The 27,115-nt window shown below is 44.5% G+C and overlaps 2 protein-coding genes across 13 annotated transcripts in view, besides 3 other annotated features; one reads left to right on the top strand and one right to left on the bottom strand.

The window, feature by feature from the left end:
- Nucleotides 1-17,395, bottom strand: part of TBXAS1 (thromboxane A synthase 1) — a 242,052-nt gene extending 224,657 nt beyond the window's left edge. For 2 of the 5 annotated variants that reach the window (NR_159363.1, NM_001130966.5), the window contains exons 1-4: nt 17,166-17,395; nt 14,813-14,897; nt 12,908-12,971; nt 8,211-8,299 (exon numbers count right to left, since the gene is read on the bottom strand). The gene's annotated coding sequence lies outside the window, so the exon portion shown is untranslated. The remainder of the gene's footprint in view (nt 1-8,210; nt 8,300-12,907; nt 12,972-14,812; nt 14,898-17,165) is intronic. The other 3 variants (NR_159365.1, NM_001166254.4, NR_159364.1) reach the window with 3 other exon arrangements.
- Nucleotides 17,294-17,523: a silencer, noted in NCBI's record as "silent region_18700". NCBI's record gives its function as "represses an Ori minimal core promoter by ATAC-STARR-seq in GM12878 lymphoblastoid cells {active_cell/tissue: GM12878}" and the evidence as "EXISTENCE:reporter gene assay evidence [ECO:0000049][PMID:35858748]".
- Nucleotides 17,639-27,115, top strand: part of HIPK2 (homeodomain interacting protein kinase 2) — a 216,429-nt gene continuing 206,952 nt past the window's right edge. For 7 of the 8 annotated variants that reach the window (XM_047420265.1, NM_001113239.3, XM_047420260.1 and 4 more), the window contains exon 1: nt 17,639-18,032. In XM_047420265.1, coding sequence (XP_047276221.1) covers nt 18,014-18,032 — 19 coding nt within the window. In that variant the 5' untranslated portion in view covers nt 17,639-18,013. Of the gene's footprint in view, nt 18,033-19,489 lie in introns of those variants that run through there. The other variant, XM_047420263.1, reaches the window with a different exon arrangement.
- Nucleotides 17,954-18,043: a silencer, noted in NCBI's record as "silent region_18699". NCBI's record gives its function as "represses an Ori minimal core promoter by ATAC-STARR-seq in GM12878 lymphoblastoid cells {active_cell/tissue: GM12878}" and the evidence as "EXISTENCE:reporter gene assay evidence [ECO:0000049][PMID:35858748]".
- Nucleotides 21,686-21,865: an enhancer, noted in NCBI's record as "active region_26769". NCBI's record gives its function as "activates an Ori minimal core promoter by ATAC-STARR-seq in GM12878 lymphoblastoid cells {active_cell/tissue: GM12878}" and the evidence as "EXISTENCE:reporter gene assay evidence [ECO:0000049][PMID:35858748]".

Raw genomic sequence — 27,115 nt, 5'->3', positions numbered from 1 at the left:
AAACCCTAGAAGAAAACCTAGGCATTACCATTCAGGACATAGGCATGGGCAAGGACTTCATGTCTAAAACACCAAAAGCAATGGCAACAAAAGACAAAATTGACAAATGGGATCTAATTAAACTAAAGAGCTTCTGCACAGCAAAAGAAACTACCATCAGAGTGAACAGGCAACCTACAAAATGGGAGAAAATTTTCGCAACCTACTCATCTGACAAAGGGCTAATATCCAGAATCTACAATGAACTCAAACAAATTTACAAGAAAAAAACAAACAACCCCATCAAAAAGTGGGCGAAGGACATGAACAGACACTTCTCAAAAGGAGACATTTATGCAGCCAAAAAACACATGAAAAAATGCTCATCATCACTGGCCATCAGAGAAATGCAAATCAAAACCACAATGAGATACCATCTCACACCAGTTAGAATGGCAATCATTAAAAAGTCAGGAAACAACAGGTGCTGGAGAGGATGTGGAGAAATAGGAACACTTTTACACTGTTGGTGGGACTGTAAACTAGTTCAACCATTGTGGAAGTCAGTGTGGCGATTCCTCAGGGATCTAGAACTGGAAATACCATTTGACCCAGCCATCCCATTACTGGGTATATACCCAAAGGACTATAAATCATGCTGCTATAAAGACACATGCACACGTATGTTTATTGCGGCATTATTCACAATAGCAAAGACTTGGAACCAACACAAATGTCCAACAATGATAGACTGGATTAAGAAAATGTGGCACATATACACCATGGAATACTATGCAGCCATAAAAAATGATGAGTTCATGTCCTTTGTAGGGACATGGATGAAACTGGAAAACATCATTCTCAGTAAACTATCACAAGAACAAAAAACCAAACACCGCATATTCTCACTCATAGGTGGGAATTGAACAATGAGATCACATGGACACAGGAAGGGGAATATCACACTCTGGGGACTGTTGTGGGGTGGGGGGAGGGGGGAGGGATAGCATTGGGAGACATACCTAATGCTAGATGACGAGTTAGTGGGTGCAGTGCATCAGCATGGCACATGTATACATATGTAACTAACCTGCACAATGTGCACATGTACCTTAAAACTTAAAGTATAATAAAAAAAAAAAAGAAAGGGAGAAGACAGAAGATTGGCTAGAAAAGGGAAGTTCTTCAAAGTCCAGAAGATATCTACACTGGGATTATAAAGCACAAAATGTCTTGTTCATCCCATATAGAAAGTGTTGGCTGGGTGTGGTGGCTGATGCCTGTAATACCAGCACTTTGGGAGGCCAAGGTAGATGGATTGCTTGAGGTCAGGAGTTTGAGACCAGCCTGGCCAACATGGTGAAACCTCATCTCTACTGAAAATACAAAAATTAGCCAGCATGGTGGTGCATGCCTGTAATCCTAGCTACTTGGGAGCTGAGGTAGGAGAATTGCTTAAACCCGGGAGGCAGAGGTTGCAGCGAGCCGAGATCATGCCACTGCACTCCAGCCTGGGCAGCAGAGTGAAACTCCATCTCAAATAAACAGACCAAAAAAAAAAAAGAAAGTGTCTTGTGCCAACTGTTAGCAAACACATATACATGCACGTGCACCATACACACACCCATACAAGCATTAAGATGCATTTTCTTTAAGAAATGCAGCCTTCTCATTCTCTTTGCCACTTCTTTGTAGAAGAAATCCCCTATAAAAGGGCTTTGGATTAAGAAGTCAATATGAAACCGTGAACCCTGATCAGGAAAGGGAAGACAGGAGAGAGAGGTAAGAAGGAATGATTACTTTCTACTAAGTCAGATTGGTCTCAACACTTGGCTCTGAAAAGCTTGGCTTATTTTCACTCTGAATCATGAATGCGAAAATGCTCTGCAAACTGTAAAGCACTTTGTAAATGTTTTCATTATTATGCTATTCAATCTCATATGAAATATGTTTCCTTTTCCTCTCTGCTTTTGTAAATCAAATCCATCCCTAAATGCCTGGCTCAACATGTAAGCTTTCTTTGACTCTTTCAGCAGATTGTGATCTTCCCATCCCCTAAAAGTCCATCAAATTTATAACAAGAGTCTTTCATTTGGCCCCAGTATCACAAACTACACTCCCTTGTTTGTTTTTTCTGGGTCTCTGTCTTGCCTTTCACTACAAAGGTGTTCACTGTTGTTTGCCACTCAGTAAAACGGTGTTTGGCACAGAGTAGGTGTTCAATAAATACTTTTTTTTTTTAATGGATTCTCGCTCTGTCATCCAGGCTGGAGTGCAGTGGTGGATCTTGGCTCACTGCAACCTCCACCTCCCAGCTTCAAGTGATTCTCCTGGCTTGGCCTCTTGAGTAGCTGGGACTACAAGAGTGCGCCACCATGTCCAGCTAAATTTTTTTGTACTTTTAGTAGAGACAAGGTTTCACTATGTTGGCCAGGCTGGTCTTGAACTCCTGACCTCAAGTGCTCTGCCCGCCACAGCCTTCCCCAAAGTGCTGGGATTACAGGTGTGACCCACTGCACCTGGCCCAGTTAGTACTTTTTAAATTGTATTAATGACACAGGATTTCTAGAGAGATGTTTTATAATATTTTTAGTTTATACCATTCCCATAGTAGATAACCATTCAATTACATATCTAAAAACTGGTGACCTGGTCTGAACATTTTGTCTAGTTAGCCATGAATCAGGCAGGCTGCAGACAAACAGCCACATGACCCTACTTCGCACCAAGCATTCTTATTGCTCTTCTTTTCCTTTACCATCTTGCTTTGTTTCCTATTGATGTTCTCTTACCTGGGCCTCAAATGATAGTTATGACTTTAAAAGTGCATTTTCCAGGATATCTCTTTTGGAGGACAGGGATGAAAGTATACCCTTCTCTCCTCCCTCATTCATCCTTTGATGACTTGGATGTAGTAGGGTTGACTTGGAAGTCTAGGACCCAATGAAAAGCAAACTCAGTCTCCTATGAGTAAAAGCAGACAGGGAGTCTGATTTCTGTCCCTGCCCTCATCCCTGCAGATAAAGAGGACTGGCTATTTGTCCAACTGTGCTTCATGCAGTCCCTCAAGAATAACCACCTGTATTCCCATCACTGTGTTCTATGTCTGTTTGTTTTGTTTTCATTGTCAATAAACTGTATCTAGATGCTGGGTGAAGTTCTACAGAAAAATTTGACATAAAAGACAAACCTCTGGGACCTGCAGAGAGAATAAAGACAAGTAGGTAGGTGATAATGCAGGCCAGTAAACAAACCACCAAGCCGACCATGGGTGAAGCTGGCTGGCTCTCCTTGGAAGGGGTGGATATTGGATGAATCTCTGTAAAGCCAGGAGTCCAGGTCTTAGCCTTGTGGTTTTGGTAACTCTATTTTACCAGTTTACTCAAGAGTTATCAGGATCTGATGAGCTGATCTATTCCTATAAAACCCCAGACTGGCTTTATCTTTCCCAAATCAGAATATCAATATATTGATTTAGAATGAGAAGTATATCCTTTTAGGACAGGAATATTCAGGTTCAGGGCACTTATGTGCATGATATGATATGCACGAAACTGATAAATTAAAGTTTTAATGTGGAGATAACTTGCTAAACATGGAATCAGTCTTGAGGTGTGCTTTCTATGGGATATAGCATACCCTGGAACACACACAAGCTCTGCTCCACTTCGAAAAATATCTTCCCACAGGAAAAAAATATAACAGTGTGGAGATGCACAAACACATTCTTCTTCACTTCTTTTTTCTAAATTTCACAAAAACTACCACCCATACTTTAAAATTATACCTAAAAATTTAATTCCAAAGTAAGTATGAGATCACTGCAAGAAATGAAAAAAAAAAAAAAAACAAAACATTCCAAAGATATGTAAAGAAAAAGTTAATAATTTCATGTCTCTGCCACTGCCTCCATACCCAAATCCGTGGTAATAGATGTGCGGGGCCTGGGTTATACAGCCGCCTGCACCTTTCACTAGGATTATACAAAGACATGCACTATAGTTAGGGATTTTCACATTTCTTTTTATAAATATTACACAATACAACATACTCTGAAACTTAATCCTCTCACGAATATATCACGGACACTTCCCCTTGGCCAATGGGTATAACTCAGACATTATTTTTAGTAGCTGCATCATATGTGATCATTTCCCAGCCTGCCTTTGGTTAGAGGTAGCCATGTCACTGAGTTGTGGCCCATAGAGTGCAAAGGGAACCAGCACTCCACACCTAGGCCTGGCCCGTAAAAATCTCCCGTGGGGGTATCCTCCATTCTCTCCTTCTATCTGCCAGCTGGAAGTGAAGGCCTCCGAGGCTCCCACTCACAGGTAGGGGACGCCTAAGTCCCTGAATTACTATGTGGAAGGCCACTCACTAAACCCCTATGCTGACTGTTGTCAGAACGAGAAATAAACTTTCATTGTGTTAGGCTACCGTTAGCATTTATCTGTCACCACAACTAGTGTTACCTAACTGAGGCAATGGCTTCCACTATATTAGTGTTTCTGGGTTCTTTTTTGTGGATAATCAGATATAAGATCCAAAACCTAAGCCCAGGCACAGTGGTTCATGCCTGTAATCCCAGCACTTTGGGAGGCCAAGGCAGGAGGATGGCTTGGGCTCAAGAGTTCGAGACCAGCATGGACAACATGGTGAAACTCCATCTCTACAAAAACATACAAAAATTAGCTGGGTGTGGTGGTGGGTGCCTGTAGTCCCAGCTACTCAGGAGGCTGAGGTGGCAGGATTGCTTAAGCCTGGGAGGCAGAGGTTGCAGTGAACCAAGATTGCACCACTGCACTCCAGCCTGGGTGACACAGTGAGACCCTGTCTCAGAAAAATAAAAGTAAAAATCCAAAACCTGTATCAGTCAATCATGCAGTCACTTATTACACATTCCCCTAATATCTATTAATTCATACAAATGTAATATGGAGTCCTAAGCCATCTATCTTATCCATCAGAATGAATTCATAGGTGCAAGAAAAACATGGTCTGCCATTTGAATTTTTGCTTATTACTATGTACATTCATTTAGTTTGATCACAATGCAAGCTTGATTTCTTTTCTCTAAGAGTTTAGGGAGCCATTTTTCTTTTTGACTACTGTCCTTTTGTCAACTGTCCTTGACTAATCACTCAAACGATATAGGTTTTGTTGTTTTGACAGAAGTGAAAAAACTTTCCAAATAATTATTTCAGTTTTTCTTGCTTTAAAGGTAGAATAAAGGGTGAATAGACAACAGTTGGGAAAGTGAAAGAAATGGGAATTTTAAAAAATTAGCCAGACTTGGATTGTTCTAGTTTTCAAAAATCATATAATGCATTTAGTAGTAATAGCCGTAGTAGGAAGAGCAGCTTGAATGTTTCAACATGAAACCCAAAAGATCCTCATGGTCCCTACTTGCATTTTAAACTAATGCTCTATCAGCTTTATGGCTGAGGCAAATATTTAGTAAGCCTCAGATTGTGCTGCAGCAATTTGGGATAGAATGATTCCCACGTAGTCACAGGTACGTGTGATAAAGGGAAATTGTTGTATGTATAATGTATGGAGAGGAGGAAATAATGGAACATAGAAACAGATTACTTTGGTATTTTGTCCATGGGCCTAAATAATGATGTTGCTCCGATTCCATAGTTAGGGCTCAGTGTGAGTTGGTGTTGGCATTGACCTAGGACTCCGTGTGCAGACCTAAAAACACTCTAGAAGAAAATATGTTTAGGCCGGGTGCGGTGGCTCACGCCTGTAATCCCAGCACTTTGGGAGGCCGAGGAGGGGAGATCACTTGAGGTCAGGAGTTTAAGACCAGCCTGGCCAACATGGCAAAACCGCATCCCTAGTAAAAATGCAAAAATTAGCCGGGTGTGGTGGCAGGCACCTGTGATCCCAGCTACTCGGGAGGCTGAGGCAGGAGAATCACTTGAATCCAGGAGGCAGAAGTTGCAGTGAGCTGAGATTGTGCCATTGCACTCCAGCCTGGGCAACAGAGACTCCAGCTCAAAAAAAAAAAAAAATGCTTACAGGATACAGTGATTTGAGGCCATACTAAAAAGACCATCAGATCCTAGCCGTTGGGTCAGATATCTCACTAATAAAAAGATTAAAGGCTGGGTGAGATAGTTTGCACCTGTAATCTCAGCACTTTGGGAGGCTGAGGTGGGAGGATTGCTTGAGCCCAGGAGTCCTAGACCAGCCTGGGCAACACAGAGAGACCATGTCTCTACAAAAAAGTTTTAAAACTTAGCCAGCCATGGTGGTGCATGCCTGTAGTCCCAGCTACTTTGGGGGCTGAGGCAGGAAGAATGATTGAGCCTGGGAGGTTGAGGCTGCAGTGAATTGTGATTATGCTACTGCAAGTGCACTCCAGCCTGGGCAACAGAGCAAGACCCTGTGGAGAAAGGGAGAAAGAAAGAGAGAGAGAGAGAGAGAGAGAGAGAGATTAAACATATTAAATGTATAAGCATTTTCTATAACTTCTCAAATTATTATAAAAAAGGCAAAAAGTGAATATGTATATCTAGTGGGGGTGCTAAACAAAGTGAGAATGACACCCCATCACACTAACGACCTCCATTTACCAGACTGGTGGGTGTCACCCATACAGAATTGGAGAAAGGGTTATATTCTGCTTTTGCTAATGATTTATAAGGTGGGCACTTAAACTCAAAATCTTATAGCCCTTATTTCCAGCCCTTCTTTCATTCTACCAACTTGGACTCCTGCTCAAAAATATTCAGTGCTTCTCTATTGCTTTTGGAAATAGATGTAAATACTTCTGCTGGGCACTAAAGGCCCTCCCCAGTCCAGGCCCGATCTATTTGTCTAAACATATTTTGTATTAACTGTTGTCTAACACCTGGCCCCAGTCTGGGGCAGGCCAACCCTAGGGCACGGCCATTCCATGTGCCATGTGCATTTTTCATTCCCAGCCCTAAGCCTTTCCTCTTCTCCTCCACACATCCAATCCCAATGGTGCCATGGGCAGAACTCAGTGTCTCCAAGTCCACCTCCACATAGCAGTCTGGCTCCCTCCAAAGTACAAGAGAATTGGCTGGTGGGCAGTTTGATGGGTGCAGCTGCATGGTGCCCCACATTCAGAAGGACCATGGGCCTGGCTCCTCTGTCTAGACTCAGATGCTGGTGCATTCTGGACTTACTCATGTAACAAGTATTTATTGAGCCACAAGTAAGTACAAGGCACTGTTCTAGACACTTGAAATGTATCAGTGAACAAAACAGACAATGACTTTGTGAAACTTACATTCTAATAGAAAGAATCAGACCATAAAAATGAACTTTAAAAATAAGTAAATAATAAATGATGTTAGAAGAGAATAAATACTATGCAGATATAGCAGAATAAGATAAGAGCAGGGATTCTTATCCTGGAGTTCCAGACTCATAGCATCTTCATGGATAGAATTCAGGGGATCTGTGAACTTGGATAGGGGGAAAAATGGCACGTTTATTTTCATTAATCTTAAACCTTCAAACCTGACTGTAGGCTAACAACCTCAGAAGCCACAGCAATACCTATAACTTTGTTACCAATTGAAATCACAGACATTTTGTATCAGATTGACAATTGTTGCAGATTTCTTGAACTGTTGTTTACATTCATCACTATTTTGTAGCTATTGGACCTGTGGTTAAATCTTGTTATTTAATGTATCAATAAAGAAACACACATTTAGTAACTGTTTCTCAAAATTGTATCAATAAAGAAATACACATTTAGTAACTGTATCTCAATATAATTAGCTTCTTTTGTAGTCTTATGTGTTTTTATTCAATACATTTAAAAACATTATTCTGAGAGGGCAATCCCAGGCTTCACCAGACTGCAGAAGAAATCCACAGGAAAAAGAAAAAAGGTTAAGAACACCAGGTAAGGGAAAATGGGGTGCAGTAGAGGACAGCATGGGTAGAGGGGCAAGTTGCAATATGAAATAGGGTGGTCAGGTTAGGTTTCACGCCTAATGCCCTTTGGACCTGAGTTTCTACTGCTTGCTCTCCTTGGCCATCCCAGTCGTTGCCCTGGCTTTACCCAACCCTCAAACTCAGGAACCCGGTGGTGCCATCTTGTTAGTCACCACTCTCCCAGCTGCCCACCACCTTCCCCTCTCTGGCTATTAAACACAGGACTTAACATCCAGAAGTTTGTAATGAATGTAATAATGTCAATAGAGCCCAAAGAAATTAAAGGATATTTTTAAAAATCTTACCTGTTGTTGTTCTGCCTTCTATTTAAACATCCAACTCAACCAGACAAACTAGCTCACATCAGCCAGGCAGTCCAGGCAGTATATGTCTCCTAAAGAAAAGATAAGCAAAACCAATCAGCAGCTTCTGAAAGTTGATGAAGTGTACCACCTAGGGCAAGTGGAATGCAAGCTGAAGATATTGCCATATTCCAAAAGAAATTCTTTAAAAATTCAAATTCATCTCATACATACAAACGAAAATCCTCAGAATTCTATGACAAAAGATTATTTGTTTTTTTCTTAACTTACACTTTGAAGCTGTTGAATTATTTTTAAAAGATCTATACACAGACTGTGATAAAACACATAAGGAAATCACAAAACTAAATTCTTCCTAAAAATGACTAAGATGCTGTTAGCTGTAGGTAATGGGATCCTTGCTAAAGGTGTCTTCATAAAGACAGCTCTCCTCTCAATAAGGCTGGAGGTCAGTGGTTCCAAAGCCAGTTTACTTCCTTACTTGCAAGACATCACTCTAATTGATCCCACCTAAAGCATCCCATCCTACTAGGATATGGCTGAAAAGAGGGAAAGGAAATGGACCACCTCTTCCCATGGAACACACCTTTATGAGAAAGGAGACACTTTCTCAGAAGTCTCCAAGTTTTACCTTTTATCTCATTGGGCCACATGACCACCACTGGAAACATGACTGATTTGCTGCAACTGACTTAAACCAATCATAATTTACTTTCTTGGGCAGGTACAGTACTGCCTAAATAAAATCAGAGTTCTACAACTGAGGAAGAAGGCACCAGAGATAGGCAGCAGGCAACCACGTGTGTCTTCCACATAGAGTGAAAAGCTTCAGGATTATATGAAAAAATAAAATAAAAAGAAAGAAAGAAAAAAGAACCCTAGGCTTAAAAAATAAAATTAAGCCTTGAAGTTGTTGGAAGTAAAAGGTCTATCTGTGAAACTTTTCACTAAAATAAAAACAGGTAATCCCAAAACTAAATTCTTCCTTGCATTCTATCACTTAATTATTATATTCCCAGAACGGTTCAAAGCTGTCTAGAAGTATACCCTTTCTCATGGATTCAGTACAGATTTATTAAGTGTCTCCTTCATACCTGACACTACGGTGTTTTGTTGCCTTGTATAGTTTATCTTCCCCTTCCTTCACATGAATAATTTCTACTGATGAGGCAGACATTATTATCTCACTCTATAGATGAGAAAACTGAGGTGCAGAGAAATGAAATCATTTCCCTTATCATCATCCAGTTAAAAGTGATGGACCTAATGTTCCTGATGGTCAGTCCCTCTTTCATTGCTCCCATAGAGGGAAAGGCGAGACATTAAAAAAACAAAAAACAAACAAACAAAAAAAAAACCCTCTAATACTAGATAGGAAAAAATGAATGCAGCAGAAACAGACCTAAAATATGCTTTGGGGAGAATAAAGGATAAATGACCTCTGGGGATGTGGGCTGGGGAATAGGAAAGGCTTCATGAAGGAAATAGCATGTGAACTGGGTCTTAAAGGATGGGGAAGACGTGGAGTTCAGGACACTCTGGGCAGAGGCTGGCATGTACAAAGACAAAGCTGTGCAGCTATTGCTTAGGATGCACGAGATGCAAGAGTGGGAGATGAGATTGGGAAGGGGATTTTGGGCAGATCATGATGGGATTTAGGTGTCAGGTTAAGGTGATGAAGGTTGTTGTGCAGTAATATGGTGACTCCGAACATCTCTGAGCAATGGTATGCAGTGCGCAGGAAGCCAATGTTGTCAACAATCAGTTATGTGAATTAAAGACGAGGGAGAGACTGGAGTCAGGGACATCTGTTAAAAAAATAGCGCAGCAGTCCAAGGAGGAGGTAGGGATAGGCTCAATCAGGTACTGGCAGTAGAAAGGAAGAGGAATGGAAGAATGTGAAAAGCTATCACACAAAAAACAACAACAACAACAACAACGAAACAATGGGTCCTGGCAGTTGACCTGCAATGGCTGGAGCTGAAGGACTAGGAGGTGGTTATTGTTTACCAGAAGGAGGTTTGGGAGGAGATGAGTTCCATTTGGTAGCAGTGTCTGGAAAGCAGGTGGAAATGTGGGACAAGAGCTAATGAGACTATGTCAATTCAAATACCAGCCTCAGAGATCTAGAGATCAGCTTGCCAAGAGAACAAGCAGAAAGGGAACAGAAGAGAGCTTAGGTCCAGTCCATCAAGAAACAGGGTGAAGGGAGAAGGACACGGCCCCTAAATGATCAGGTCTCTCTCTTCTTAGTTCCCTCCTTTAGCCTCTTAGCCTCTCTCTCCACACCTGTAGTTATGGAACTGCTTTGTGTAAATGTATCCCCTAGGGAGTAAATTCAAAATGCAGATTTCCAGGTGCCACCCCCAGAGATTCCTGAGTCAGTGGGTTTGGGGTTCTGCCTGAGGAGTCTGCATCCTTAGAAAGCCCCTTCGATGCAGGCAGCCCAAGGACCACACTTTGAGAAATGCTGCCATGTAACCTCTCCCTGTGTGATCTCACCTCCTATGGATCAGCCACGCATTATACACTTACTGATGACTCAAAACAATCTCTATCTCCTATTAAAAACCCTTGGCTGAGCTCCAGTCCTGTACACCCACCTGGCAACTGAGCATCCCTATCTGAATATCTCATAGGTACTTTAGACTCAACATGTTCAAAATTGAATTCATTTTTCCCCACATCTGGTGCATTCAGAATAAAGTATAAGTTCTTCAGCTTGGCATACAATCTCCAGCGTCATTCCTGACCACTGTCTCGGCCTTGCTTTGCATGTTTAGCAATATTATAATTTCTTACATATCCTAGACATTCATATCTTTCTATCCTATTTGCTGTCACCTGCCAGAACTCGCAGTGCCAGGCACAGACGTGCCACCTCCCCTGCCCCAAACACACTCCTTGCCATTTGTCCCTCTGTACTATCTTTTGACCATGTGCATCCTTTTTACTGCTGCACTCATTATATTGTATCATGCTCCTTGCTTGGTGGTTTTTCTTTGAACTTGAGCTCCTTGAAAGCCAGGGCTATGGCTTATTCCCTTTTATACTCCCAGGTCCTGCTACAGAATCTAGCACATAGTAAGCTGTAGCTGAACATTTGATGAATTGATTTTCTCAGGAAAAAAAGAAAGGAAGAAAGAAAGGAAGGAAGGAAGGAAGGAAGAGAGAGAGAGAGAGAAAGAATGAAAGAAAGAACAAACGAAAGAAGGAAAGAAAGAAAGAGAAAGAAGGGAGGGAGGGAGGGAAGGGGGAAGGCAGGCAGGCAGGCAGGCAGGAAGGCAGGAAGGCAGGCTAGGAGTATTGAAAACAAAAACAAAAACAAAAACCTAAACAAGCATGTGAAAGGAGGAAGGACTAGGAATTTTGGGAAAAAATACAAAAAAAAAAAAAACAAAAAAAACTAAACAAGCATGCATGTGAAGGATGTGAAGGGAGGGGAGTGATTCAAGAAGAGTGAGGTGATTAACAGTGTCTAACTAACTCATGTTTGCTTAGAGATCAAGCAGGGGAGGGGCTAAGAAAGGGCATGCGATTTGCAATCTAAGAAGCCACTGGCAACCTCAGAGCAAAGAGTCAGTCCTAACTGCCCTCTGCCGTGACAGTCAAGCCCCTCCAGGGGTTGCCAGATAGGAGCAAGCTCTTTCATGTCAGTGGGAGGAAACCTTACAATTGAAACTTCACACTGTACAGAAATGCACAGGTCCACTGATTCATGGCTGAGGTAGGCTTAACAGGACCTGCAGGCTTTTAAAAGAGCTCTCCTCAGTCTACCTTTATTTCTGCCTCCACCCCAAGCTTCTTTCTGCACCATTTCTACCTAGTCTGTCCAAGTTCAGCCTGGACTGCAGGTCAGGAAAACCAAGCTATTACCTACCTCCCATAATCACAGAAATTTCTCTGCAGGGTTGGGTTGCTTCTCTGAACTGCTTCTCATGTGCAAATCCATCCTAATCTGCCATTCCCGCAACCTCCAACAAAATCGCCCTACCTTCTGTGCATCTACATTACAGCTTCTTTTCATTCATAGGCTGATTGCATTTTTTTTTTTTTTGCCATATTTCCTTTCTGCTCAATGCTCTTATGGCATCGCTTTGCTTTTCCTGCACCCCTGTTCAGGTGTCTGATCATTTTTCTTCTAGGAGCAAAAGCAGAAAAATGAATGATGTTTCCCTATTCCCCTGATTTTGCCAGTGTAATTTCTCCAAGACTGCCATTTCCACAATCAGATTCCCTTCACCCTGCCAAGCCTCGCTCTCCCCTTTGCCCTTAAAGCCACAGCTCTATTGTTCCTCATTTGAATGAAATGTCTACTCTTTTAAATTCTCTGTGAGTGTAATGTCTTGTTACTGAAGCTTTCAGTTAAAGAGTTTTGTTATTAAATACTACTCTGTTACAAACTGTATCATTGAAACCGATCAAAGGTTTAAAGCAGAAAGACAAGGTAATTTCTTAAGAATAATCCAAACAAAAATAGGTCTCTATTATGACTTGTTAAGAAACAGAATTAAAATAAAGGGAGAGGAAGAAGAAATAAAGAATGTGTGGAAAAGATAGAAAGATACAGAGAAAAAGAAAATTAGACACACAGTCAGAAAGAGAGGAAAATAGAGATACAGCAAGAGACCAAAAGAGAGGTGTGATATCAAAAGACAGAACTTGAGATAGTGACCTACCTCCCTCAGGCACATCCTCCAGAGATAAACCACAGGCACAGGCTCACACATGGAAAATAAAGAGCTGTCAGGAAAATAAGAGCAACACACACCAAGTGAGAATAAGATACAAGCCACACAGACATCATGCTAAGAATACCCTGAGAGTAAGAGAGACATACACACCTAAATGCATACACCAAAAAGAGGGTTATCTCTATCCTGTGGCCTTGAAGATATTGTGATGTTGTGCAGTTTCACAACTATAGGCATACATGAAAAAAAAAAGACCCTTTGTTCCATGTCCTGTAAGCAAAATGAACTTGAAATGAGGTCAAAGCTCCCCCATGTTCACTCTACCAACTCCTGAGAAAGATATGACTTGCACCATTTTGTAGAAAGGCAAATTAAGGAGAGGTAACTGGTATAAATGGTTACTAAATCCTTTCCAGTTTTCTTGCCTTTATTATTGTTCTTCAATGCACCCTGAAGTTAAATGGTATTTTGGCAACCTAGAGTTCCATGTACTGTTAAAAAAAAAAAAAAGTGATTTTTTTAAATGATTGATTAAACTCCTTAGAACACTGACTGCTAATGTGCTTATTAAATAAATAAAATACAATGCACACTATCTCTAGCCAAATGGGACAGCTCCCAGACCCCTCTCATTGTCTCAGGCCCATGACTGGTAAGGCCCTCTCTGCTTGGAGCAATCTCTGGTGCTCTTTTCTGGTACCTCCTTAGCCCTCCCCATCCTTCTACTATCTCCACCCATAAAACAGGACACATATTCAGGTAGAATTTAAGAAACCTGTATTTCCCTCCAAACTAGTTTCACCAAAGTCACTAATGCAACTCTTGTTGCTAAATCCAATTGATGCCTTTCTGCCTTTTTTTTTTTTTTTTTTTTTTTGAGATGGAATTTAGCTCTTGTTGCCTAGGCTAGAGTGCAATGGCACTAGAACTCGGCTCACTGCAACCTCTGCCTCCTGGGTTCAAGCGATTATCCTATCTCAGCCTCCCAAGTAGCTGGGATTACAGGTGCCCACCGCCACGTCTGGCTAATTTTTTTTGTGTTTTTAGTAGAGATGGAGTTTCATCATGTTGGCCAGGCTGGTCTCAAACTCTTGACCTCAGGTGATCTGCCTGCCTCAGCCTCCCAAAGTGCTGGGATTACAGGCGTGAGCCACAGCACCCAGCTGCTTTTCTGCTTTCATCTGACGTGGGCCTCTCAATAGCATGCAGCACTGTTGACCTTGCTGGGATGTTGAGGAATCCCCCGTCCTGGCTGTCCTCCAACTTCTCTGCCCTCTTGTCCATGGGGAGCTCTTTTTCCTCTTCCCATGTCTCAAATACTGGTACTCCCCAGGTTCTGTCACAGATCCTCTCTCCTCCCAGCTCCCATGCTCTCCTTCAGTGACATTTCACTGTTAGGTTTATACCTTGCTGCCACTTGACTGCAGTCACCGGAAGGAAAGGAGACAATTAGTATACTCAGTCTGCCAATTCATGAAGGAAAATCTAAGCTCATTTCAAGAATATTTTTCCGTTATATCATACGAACTTCGCTAGCTCAATTGAATGCATGTTTTGCATCTCATGGATACAGCTTCAGTCATGGTGGTCTGAAGAGAAGGTGGACCTCTGTCTGTATGGCTCCATCTTGTTCCCCTTCCATGGGACTCTATTTCCTTGCCCAAGATTGTTCCCTTCTTATGGGGAGGAGACTACCTGTAAAATGTTTTCGGTTGACACAAGTGATATTCATTTTAAGACTGCCTAGAATCACTCACTGCTAGACAGCAGCTGGGATGGACTTAGAGGCAGTTACTGAACACTGGTCAGTGCTGAATTCAGGGGCAGTCCTATAAAGCAGGGCCTTGCTCCAAGACGCTGCCAATCCAGTTATGAACACAGGGTACCTACACAGAAGACAAGAGTCAGCCATCTAGGGTGCGGGTATGCTGTGGACAACAGAGTGTGAGCAACAGGCAGGAAATGTTCTGTGAGCCTAAGGAAAGATGAGACAAAAGTCAGTGGGGCTGGTCAGAGGGAGGAGTTAGAATAATAATAACTTTTATTGAACCCCTACTATGTGTCTGCCCTCTATATAAAACTCTCTCTCTAATCTAACCCAGCCTCAGAGGCTGTGATGAGGACTATATGAAATGCCTTTTATCGAGTTTGTAGTGTTGTGCTGGACACAAGGGAGCATGCAACAAATTGCAGCTATCATCCATTCAACAAATATGTGTGCAGTACTCACCATGCGTTAGGCAATGCAGTTATTGGACATACAATCCAAAACAAGAAAAACATGGTTTCTGTCCTTACTGAGCTTACAGTCTAGAGACACCTTGTCCAAAATGGTAGCCACTAACCACCCATGGTTATTAAAATTAAAAATTCAGTTCCTCAGTCATACTAGCCACATTTCATGTGCTCCACAGACATAAGTAGCTACACTGCCATTATGGCAGCAAGTTCTAATGGCCAGCACTAGAAAGGGGCAGAGAGACATGCATGTAGGGTATGTATTAACAGGGAGTTACATACCTGTGTGGTGAAGGCTATGATAGAGATTTACAGATGCAAAAGGAGAACATTACTATTGTTCTCCTTCTCATAATCAAAATACAGACACTGAGGCTCAGAGAGGTTAAGCATTTTGACCAAGATCACATAGTTAAGTGGAAGAGCTAGGATTTGAACCTAGGTCTGACTTACTCCCACGCTATCTCGGGCTGTTTTGTGGAGGAGGTGAGCCAGGCACAGGTAGAATCTGCTTAAAGAGAGAAGATGGAGAAGGTACCCCTCTGGGAAAGTGGGTGGGAAAGTGACCGCTTGGGCAAAGGCACAGTGACAGAGATGGGTGAAGCTGGCACTGGGCTACAAGTAAACCAGTTTGGCTAGAGAAGCAGTGACTTGCTGAACTCATGTCCTTAGAAAGCTAAGTCAGGACTCGCCTGCCTTGATGAAAAGCCAAGGCACTCAGCCCCACCTGCAGAGGTTGAGTCCTTAGAGGATGTTAGCCAGGAGCGTGGCATGGCCAGAACCACGTATTATGAAGATGGCAATATTTAGGATGACCTGGGCCAAGACTAAAGTTAAAGATTGCAGGGAGGATAGAAGGGAAGGAGATAAATGACCGGTGTGGAGCAAAAAACACTAGAGTGGGAGCCACGAGACCTATTCCTAAGCTTCAATACTGTGTGACATTGGGCAACAGATTTTACTTCTCTGGACTCCATTTCTTCAACTCTAAAAGGGCAGGGCTGGCCCAGATGACCTCTGAGGTCCTTTTAGCAACAGTAGTCTAGGATTCTGCAAACGTGAATGGCATTAGGTTAAGAGAAGGGATAGGAAGTGTAGCATTGATTATGGGGGCAAGGAAGACCGCAGAGTACAAGATCACACAGAGGAAGGTGTCGTGATGTACCACTAAAAAAGTGTGAAAGAGCTTGCCTTTTTTGGGAAGGACTGAAGGATGGGAACGGAGGATGGAGACCGGAAAGGATAAGAAGTAGTGAGAAAATCACGAGGTTGTTTTTAAGAAAGTTATACAGTGTTAGAGATCATTATTTTACACAGATAGCTTTTCAACTTTTTTAAACCCACGATTCACAGACGGAAATAAAATTGACATCATGGTCCAGTACACTTGTCCAGTACCTATAATCGAAACAAAAGGTTTATGAAACAATAGTTGCCCTTACTAAGGGCAATGGACTCTAATATTTTCTATTGGATTCCATTTCGTTCTTTTTGAAAGCTGGTTGCCTTCCGCTGCATTTATTTTATGATCTATTACTGTGTCACGACCCACAGTTTTAAAAACAGTGCCTAAGAGGAGACTCAACAAGTCTTCCTAAGTTGGAGGGGATGGCAGGGCATCCTATCCAAGCATCCGGGAGGCAGCTGGAGAAGCAAACCTGGAGAGGCTCCCGGCTGGGGAGAGTCTGGAGAGTGTTTAGCGGAAGCCCTGATAGGAGAGAGCGCTGAGAAAAGCGAGGACCCAGAGAGTTGTGAGCTCCCATTCAAGTGATGGAGTGGCGGCCCTCGGGACAGTGTAGACGCGAGGAGGAGAAGATCAGGGTGGCGTGGAAGCCAGACTCCGGCAGGAACCCAGCGACCACCCCGGGGGCTGCATTTCCGCGGCGTGCACGGCAGGGCTTCGGTGCCTCTGACCTCGTGTGGCTTTCCGAAGCTCCTCCACTCACCCGCCCTCCTCCGGAGCACGGCGCGCGCCCACTCCTTCATTCATTCATTCCACTCCTACCTCCGCGAGCGCCAACCGGCTGTGAGATGGGCGAGCCACTTTGCCAGCGTGGGGCTCTCTTTCGGGTCGGTTCCCTCCCCGCCAGCACACGCGCGAACCCTCGCACCTGGGCACACACGCGCGCGCGTGCACACACACACACAAAGTTCTGGGGGCCCCTCTGCAGACCGGCTCGGCTGCGCTGGGCTCGGAGCCGTGCGCCCGCCGGGTCCAGGCCGGCCCTCTCACCCACTACCCGGGGCCCGCCCTGCGCCCAGTCCCCCCGCGCTGCGCGGCAGCCCCTCCCAGCGCGGTCCCCTCGGGCCGCCGGCGCGGCTCTGCCCTTCGGTTCGGCCTTCCCCGCCTCGCATCCGTGCCATCGGCGCTCGATTGCGCGCGGACTCCCTGTGGCTCTCCCGGCCCCGCGCCCCGCCCCCGCCCCCGCCCGCCGCCCCCCTCCGCCAGCAACTTTTGCGGAGCCCCCGCGCCCAGCCATGCTGAGCTGAGCCCCGCCGGCCCTGGCCGCGCGCTGCCCCCGGCTCCCGCCCCTCCGCGGATCCGCTCGGGGGCCGCGGCCGCTCGGCGCCTCGGCCTCGGCCGCTCCGCCCGCCCGGCCGCCCCGAGCCCCGAGCCCCGAGCCCCCCGCGCCGGGCCCGGGCGGCAGCGGCGGCGGCGGCGGCGGCGGCGCGCCCGGCCCCCTCCCCCGGCGCCGGCCACGGGAGGCGGTGATGCGGGCGCGGGCGGCCTCGGCTGCGCCGAGAGCGGAGACACAGGCTCAAGATGGCAGATTCCGACTGAGGCTGGGGGGGCCGAGCTCGCGCGCCGCTTTCCCGTCCCCGTTGCCATGAACCGCGGACACCCCGGCCCCGATGGCCCCCGTGTACGAAGGTAAGGGGCGCCCGGCCCCGCCGACCCCGCGCCCGCCGCCCTCCGCGGCCCCCGCAGCTTTGTTCTGCCCGCGGCCCCGCGCCCGCAGCCCCCGGCGCCTGCCCCAGCCCCCACCCGGGGCCCGAGGGGGCCGCGACCCCCTCCCTCGCCCGGAAGATGACCGGGACCCGGCGCCGGCAGGGTCTTGCTTCCAGGGCGGGGAGAGGGGCCGGGGGCGCAGGAGGGGAGGGGGCGTGTGCGAGGGTGGGCGGCTGCCCGGGGAGGGCAGGGACGCCGGGGAAGGCGGACCGGTGACTGTGCTTTTTATTTATTTGCGATAAATGAAGGTGATGCGGCTTAGCTTCCACCGCCCCCCCACATTACCTTTCGGAGCACCTCCTTTCCACTTCGCTCTCCGCCCCGCGCCCCTTCCCATTTCTTTCCGCGCCCACCCCACGCTCCTTTATTCTCCGCGAGCCTCCGATTTTGGGGGGGCTGTGGAATCGGAATGCACGGGGCTAGGTGGGGAGAGAGGAGAGAGATGAAAAGTCCATGTCAGAGCCAGGCAGAACAATGAAATAGGCGAAAATCTCCCCTCATTAGCGTGTGGAAGGGGACGTGGACTTTGGGTTTTCCAGCCGGGGGAGCGGCGGAGACGTTTTTCTGGCTCGGTCTGGGTCGATCTGTGTTGTGCACCTTCACCTGGCATCGGGGTATTTTTCCCCATTTGACTGCCTTTAGCAAGAAAGAAAAGAACGCAAGGCAGAAAAGCAGTAGGTCTGCCTCGCACACTGTCTTTCGTTTCTCTTCAGTCCGTTCTGTCAGCTTCCAGCCAGAAAGCAACCCAGAATCAACTAAGTTTTTACACTTCGATGTGTTTTTGTGTGCTTGTAGTAGGAGAAATTTTAAACCCAAGTGTGTCTGATTTTTCAGTCGTTTCATCGTGTAAATGTTTGTCTCATGAAATCATTGAAATCGCAGCCTTCACATACTTTTAGCGTGGGTCCCCCGGCTTTCTTTCGGTTTTGTTCAGATATTCTGTGGATGAAATCGCAAATGAGAGGGGACAGGGTTTGTGTGGCACAGAGGAGGGCACGAGGGGGGAATGTAATCCTCCTGTAAATCCGGAGAACAGTTGTGGCCAGTGAGACAGGGAAGGCATTAATAGTTTTATCTCTGTTATAAGAGGCTGATTAAAAAAAAAAAAACTTAAAAGAAAATCTGTTATTAGTTTCAGGGCTCCAAATGAATTAGGTTTCTGGCCGGAATAAAGTTACCAGTCAGGCCCTGGATAACGAGGCTGTAAATAACCTATAGACTGTAAATATTTTTTTTTCAGACTCTCTTAGAAACAAAGGGGCTGTTTAGAAGGCAACAGAGAGATGTTATTCCAGGGGCTTTCCTCTTTGATTCTGAAGAACACAAGGTCCATTTAACCATTCGACAAAACAAAACGAAATTTCTGATCACTCCACCACGCAGAATAGAACATGCCGGTGGACATGTGAACATGCGGGAGAACCCATGTCGGGCGTTCATTGTTCATCTGCGTCTACAGGAGGGGGCTACAGTCAATGCTCCCACTGTCTAGAGTGTTAAAATGAAACAATTTTCTCTTTATTAAGTACCTCCTTGAGACTCCCTCTGCTGGACACTCCCGGTGAGTTGAGAGAAGGAACTTGGCATTGAATTCAGAACTATAGTAAACGGCTGGTTTCCCTGTTACTAGGGACCGGGTATGTGAGTTGGGGTGTATTTTGTCAACTTTGTGGAAAGCCATCTTGGGAACTGCACTGTTCTCCTCCTGCTCCTTTCATTTTAAATCCATATGGAAGGTAGGCCATGCCCCCGAGGCTGAGACTTGGCTCTCCCCGTTCCTGCTACATTGTTCTTCCAGTTCCTTACGCCAGATAAAGAACTGCAGGTGTGTAGGGTGTTACGGTTTAAGAATAATCATGGATCTCAAAAGTCTCATGAACTGTTTTTATTTGCCAGCCTTCCTTCCCTGTCTCAGGTGACCTCCGCGGTGGCCTCTTTCAGCCCTCAGTTTCCCTCCATCTTGTCCGTGTGCCCTCTTCATTGTTCCTGCGCTGTGCACCCTTTTATTCCGGATGTTTATCTGTGCACCTTTATAATTATTTTTCTAATCTTCCTCCCCATCCCACCTCAACTGGCCCACATCAGTCTGCCAAAAGCCCAGATCTGGGTGTTTTTGAAAGAGATTGTTGGACATGCTCTAAAACAGACAGGTGACTTCTAGAATCAAGGATTAGGTTGCTAGGACCCGCATTCACTCACTGTGATGAGTGTGCCAAGACTCTGATGACCTCCTTTCTCCTGCCGTGGTGACATCCTCTGGGTTCAGGAAACCTGATTTTTCCCCTGTCTCAATCAGAGCACATGGACTCCCTGTGTGCATGCTAAACGAGCAGAGCTTTTCCTGTAGATTTCTATAAGAAGAGGGATTCCTTGTGGGTTTTGAGCTCCTAAAGAGTGTGCATGATTCTTCTCAGGAAAAGTATAACGACACGAGAGGGAATTGTTTCAATGGGGTGCTGCTGCACCAAGTTGGAATACCAGGTGAAGGCCCAGATACATTAATGGAGCGTTCTGAACCGCCAGAGATTTAGACAGAAATGCTGTTTTTGAAACAAGGGGTATTTGATAATACCAATTAATGGGTGGCAAAGAGAATCAGTCTTCCAGGGCTTGCTTGAAGGATAGGTTTATAAATAGCATGTTAGTTTTTGGTGGTTTGGAACTGAACTTCTTATAAAAAGGTTTATTTTCTTTAGAAGGTTAAACATTTGCCTTGTGATTGTATTTCCTCCATCAACTTGCTTTGCGAGGCTTTTTCAATATCTAGTGCAAAGGCCAACCACCAAGGTCTCTATTATGGGTTCTGAATGAGAGGAGCCTAAATTCCAAGTTATTTATGTTTTCCTCTCCCTGAGATATGCTGTGTTGATTACTATTGGCTTATGTAAAGGAACACTTCACAGACTTCCAAAAACTGTCTGCTGCAATTCATCATCAGATGGACCTGAAGATGCCTATCTACCAAGCTGTCTACCAAGAAATGAGATTCTGAATCATCTTGGGTTAGCAGAGTTTGATGACACATGCCCTAAAATATCTGTTCCTGTGTTTAGGTTTTATATTTTAAAAATGAGTAAGTATAAATGTTGCTTTTCTTCTCGCCACATTTGAGTAGTGAGTAAGGTGCCTTAATTTTATCCTTGATTTCAGACAATGTGCTATGATACTTGAATCAGAGAAACCTGAGTTTGAATCTAGTGATACGACTTTGGGCTTTATTGGACTGTGCAGGAACTCCATTAGAAACTAGTGCACGTAAAGTCCCTGGCTGTAGTAGGCATCTTCTCAGAGTGTGTTAAATCCCTCTATCTTCTGAGATGCTTACAGACATGATGACTCCAGGGAAAGAATAACCCACAAATAGTTTCGAAAACCAATAATAGCAACATTTCAATTATTAATCTCCTGCGATTCCCTTTCCAGTTTGGGCACCAGCAACAATAAACCCCCTATAGCCATAGAAGAAAGAACCTTCTTTTTACTCCCTCTGTGACCTTTCCAGATTCTTTATTTGCATTGAGCTTCTGCTGGTTTCAGGTAGAGAATTTCTCTTCTATAGTGGCACTTTCTGTGCTACTTGAAAAATGTGGAAATAAACTGCTGGGGCAGAGTTTCAGGGGCTGCAGCTGTGCCTCTTGGAAAGTATCCCCAAGTATGAAAGATAACCTTTGCCGTTAACCAAGATCCATTCCTAAACAAGGCAGCAGGCTGGGCAAGGGAGCACCCAGAGGTGGTTCACCAAGAGCCTCCTCCAAGGGGAGGCTCCTCGCCCACCACAAGCCAGGGTCTGCCTCACCATGCATTAAACATCATTTTCCTACAAAAGACAATTTGGTGCTTTCTGTAAGTTACAGGGGCTCAGATTCTTTGTATTTTATGTTTTATATTTCTTCATCTCTCTCTCTCTCCCTTCCTCCCATAGAGACCAGTCTTGGGGAACCACCTTTGAGGTTTGTGTGGAGCAAAGTAGTGATGATCAAGAGGGTGTGATATGTGAGCATTTCTTATTGTTCTCTGAACGTGTAATTCGCCTGTGCTTTCTGGTAGTCTTATTGATGACAATTCAAGGACTTTGGGTTGGTGTCAAAGACGGGCTTCAGAATAATGGCAGTAGACTTTATATAACCACCGATGGGATGTGAACTTGAAAGGCCCAAACTCGCAAGAGTTCCATTTCATATAGCTATTCTCTTTTGGGGGAAAAAAGAAAAGAAAAACCTACAGTATAGGCAGATCTTTATTTTTCCTATAAAAGAAACCCAGATGCTTGAGGGTCACGGTGATCACTGTGACTTAGGCCATATTGACTTTGTGCTGTGCACCGCCCTGCGCCCTTCACCCACATGAACTCAAATGTTCCACCTCTTGACAGACGAGGGCCCATCTTTAACGCATTCATTCAGCAAACATTTATGCAGGACCTGCTGTGTGTCAGGCCCTGTGGCAGGTTCTGGGTTTGTCGAAATGACAAAATCTTAATCCCTGTCCCTGACTTTACAGGGTGGGGGAAGTGAAAGAAGCATAGACTCACTAGACCATGGGTCTGATTCAAGATGGAATTTTTTCTTCTCCTTTTTTTTTTTAGTGGCAGTTCATACTTCTAACATGCCTATGCTTTCTTCAGCTAGAATGGGAAGACTTGGGTAGGCACAGTGGCTCACACCTGTAATCCCAGCACTTTGGAAGGCTGAGGCGGGTGGATCAGGAGTTCGAGACCAACCTGGCTAACATGGCGAAACCCCATCTCTACTAAAAATACAAAAAAAAAAAAAAATAGCTGGGCGTGGTGGTGGTGCCTGTAATCCCAGCTACTTGGGAGGCTGAGGCAGGAGAATTGCTTGAACCCAGGAGGCGGAGGTTGCAGTCAGCTGAGATTGTGCCATTGCACTCCAGCCTGGGCAATGGAGCGAGAGTCTTTCTCAATAAATAAATAAAGAGTGGGAAGACCCCATTTTCCTATCTCTCTTGAAGTGTTTTCTTTACGTAGACTCAAAAAAGTGTTTCTGAGTGTAGAAAATACTCATTACAAGCTTTCTTAGAAATGTCCATAAATATTACTGTCTGTAACTTGCAGAAGATCCTGTCTTCTTCTATTTGTTACTTAAATTTTATATCCTTGCCAATGCAAATACGTTTCTTATTTGCACAAGTTCTCAGAGACTTTCGTTTCTGATATTTGGTGTGTCGTAGGCTTTGTTGCGAGTGGACTCTTGCATCATATGTGGCTGTTGGAGAATTGATTCCCAGCCTTTTCGCCTGGCTGAGACCTTGTATTCCAGGTAGTTGTGTGGCACTTGGTGGTGGGGATATAGATCGGGCTGTCACTCCGAAGCATTCAGTGGCTACTTACCCAGAGCAGATCATTCAGGGAATTGTGGAAAAAGAAAAGCCTGACCTAGCTTCAGGGGCATAGAGCCCCAGAGCAGAAGACCTTGACACAGATATAGTTCACCCCCGTCTTCAGGAAGGTGAATGTCTGTGACTTGAAATTGTCAGTTCATTATTTATTTAATTATTTTTTCCAGGAAAGGGCAGTTGGAACTCCCTGAGTGACCAATTCCAGTATTCTATTAACCTGATTGTCAAGAAATTCCTGGGCCTGGCTGAAATCTCGCCTGCTGTCATTCAAACTTGTTTTCTTTTACTCAATTCCTTTCTCTAAAACCTTTCATATACTTAAAGATAATAACTGGGTCTCTTTAGCTTTTTCCTCACAGAGCCGGTTTTGTGTCACTGAAAGCATCTCCTTTCTCTCTTCTGAACTCTCTCTAGTTTCTCCCTATTTAAAAAAATGGTGGCAGTTAAAACTGAATACAGCTCTTTAATAATGTTCTCATTAGTACCGCATATAAGAGAAAAACGACTTCAGGGTTCTTGCATCATCGTGAACCCCTGGAGGGCAGGAACCATGTCTGATTCATCTTTGTCCCCTACAATAGCCGTGCAGTTCCTTAAACCTAGTAGGCGCTTCATAAATATTTCTGGAATTGACTGTTCCTTTTAATGCATCTAAGTTATAACTTACGCAGCCCTGGATTGGTGACTCATCTGTAGCTCGCATTCATTTCGGCCGTCTTTATTTTTCTTGTACTTGTATCTGGCATCCCTCACCCCAACAAAGCCACCTTCTGCTTGACTCCACTGATCACTTTGCATTTCACCCCTCAACTTCCAACTCTTTAGAATCTTGCTTAATTATCTCCCGTAGATCTGACAAACAGAATGCAGAGGCCATAAGTATAAAAACTTGAACTACACTTGAAAGAAGAGCAAGCACACAGAAGAATCTTGATGATTCAGAGCAGTGTCAGGTCATCCTCATTTAGAAGGGACCGTTTGTCAAATTCGTTATAGATTCTGAGTCAGCTAAAGCCATACCTGTTTTACTAGGTTCTCCAAGGTGAGTGAGCTAGGTGTTTATGAGAGTGGTTACAAGTCAGACTTTCAGAGGGTAGTCCTCCCTCTCTTTGGTTTAAAGCCAATGGAAAAGGCAAAAGATGTAATGAACGACATCACTGCAGGTTGTGTTTTTTCTGACAGATATCTTTGCCCTTAGAAAGCAAGCTAGTAAAATCATTGCCAAAAAAGAAAAGGCAGAAAACCTTTGAAACTCCAAAATATCTTTGTGGTTTTATAGCTACTTATTTCTGAATACAGCATTGAACAAATTTGTAATGTTTTTGACAGTAGTCTGTTTTAACAATTCTTGCCTAAGTACTTTTGCCTTAGTAGGTTCTGATCAATTAAATGCCACTGTGTTTAAGCAGAATTAAGATTGATCAATTCTTCTGCATGTGTTAATGCTGTCGACTCTATAAAAACCTTTGTCACAAAAAGAATGCAGCCTAATATGTGAGTGGACAAGGGTATTTTTCCTCCAGGTGGTTCTGTCCATCCGCAGTGAGAGATCACCATAGAACCTTCCATGACATTGACTACGAAAGCACTTCTGGCTTCACACAGTCACAGATTTGCATCTTGAAGAACAAAGGGTTTGTTTGTGTATTTTTACCATTTTCCTTCACACTAATATTTCCCTGTTGATTCAACCTATGGAATCGTTATTCCCAAGTAAAATCATTCGTCCAAGGGCTTATGATAAGAAGCCAGCTCTATACAATATAGAACTTATAGTTTCATAGCATTAAGGAAGCAAATTTTAATGGTGTTTGTGCCTGGATTTCTGTTAAAAGTCACAGGGTTATAATGCCGAGGTTGTGAGTATTAAATTAAAAAATTTTAAAAAGTCACAGGGCAGGGAGATTTGGAAAACTCCAGCTTATTGCCGATTGTGGAAATGTGTTCTTTTAAAATTTGTTTATTTTGTATCTAATGAAAGATTTATAGGGCTCTGACAAAAACCAGCATGTACGTTTTTGAAACTGTACAGAAAGACAGCAAGTTACACCTTCCTGAATTCTGTGTCACGGCATCTACTCACCAGAATCTGAGCGGATAGCAGGGACTTCTGGAGGATAGTAAGTGTCAGGGGAACTCGTGACAGGGAGAAGGAGCACCAAGAGAGAATGCACACGTGCTTTCGGCCTTTTCCCCTGAACCACTCACCTCTGCAGCTCCAGCACAGTGTCATTACTATTATTCATTAAGTGTGACCTGTACCATCAGGAAAAGATTCATCAGTTTCATTATGTTCTGTTAACTGAGCCTGGGAGGTTCTCTAATGTATTACAGAAATGCTTCCACTAGTCAGTGGTTAAAGAAATTCTTTCATTTGCTTGTTACAGTGATGTACTCCAAAGAGGATTTAAGGCTGCTTAAATGGTTAAGTTTCTGGTAGAGAGGGAAATTAATTTATGTAGATCAATTTTGTGGATAGCTTCTTTCCAAGGATGTCGGATAAATGAGGTATTCCTATAGAAAGAGACAACAGCAATAGGCAAAGCTCTGGTGTTGGCTTAACAAGGTGAATAAGCAGAGTGCATAATGGAATTCATTTGCAAAGTAATTTTTGCTTGGCTGGAGTGGTAAGCACAAAATAGACTAGCAGATGAGAATGGTAAGTGTTTGGGATCAGTTGTTAAAAGGTTTAAAAGGGGTTCTAATTCAAGTGACATTTTGTGGTGTGGAGAAGGGGACCGATATTATCAGAATGATACTTGAACAAGGTAATTTTTACTGGCCTGGGTATAATAGAAGGAACCAGACAGCCAGGGGTGGGCCATGCTGGTAGGCCTTGTGGTGCGGTGGAAGGCACTGCGGCCGTGGAGATGGAGGTGGGCCATGCTGGGAGGCCTTGTGGTGCGGTGGAAGGCACTGCGGCCGTGGAGTTGGGGCAGGGCTGCTGTTGGGGTGGTGCAGGAGAACACGCATCGAGCACTTGTCGGCTTGCCTGGTCCAGAGGTTCAATAAATGTTGGTTTCTTTTTGCTTTCCTCCCCACACCTTATGGCAGTGATCTAGGATCAGGAAAACTTGCTGGGATTGGCAATACCATGATGTTCTGTTTTTCTAAAGAATCTCTTTTTGTAGGCTCACTCGCATTTCACAGAATCTGACTGGGTCATAGTATAACCCTGGTGGGGTCTTCATGCGTTATTATTCAGTCTTTGACACATGAGAATCTGAGGCCAGAGCAATGAAGAGGCTGTTCCAATGTTATGTGTGCTGGGGGAGCAGAGCTAGGGCTCTTCCTCTCCCTTCCCCTGTAGCAGTGTGCACAGAAGCCCCAGAACACTCCAGAATGCCGAGTGGAGCTTTGCTAGGCTGCACTGCCAGGTGGGGCTCCAGGTATAGTGGTTCCTACCAGGCTGTCAGAGCCACTTCCTTTTTCCCCAGAGGCATACGGAAGCTCCTGAGTTCTGGTTCTCGTGGTCCCCTTGCAGCCCACAGTGCTACACTGAGCCCCTCCTGCAGGGAGTGTTTCCCTCTGTCCCAAGGAAAGCAAGGCCACAGTGCCCTCAGTGGTTCCTTGTGTTTCCCTGAGAAAGTTCACAGCTTGTCACCATGAGCTACTTAATAACAACAACAACAAAAATCACAGGAGAG

Source organism: Homo sapiens, chromosome 7 (genome assembly GCF_000001405.40).
Source record: "Homo sapiens chromosome 7, GRCh38.p14 Primary Assembly".
Lineage (NCBI taxonomy): Eukaryota > Metazoa > Chordata > Mammalia > Primates > Hominidae > Homo > Homo sapiens.
The sequence above is the reverse complement of the archived record's forward strand: the minus strand, read 5'-3'. Positions and strand labels throughout refer to the sequence as shown.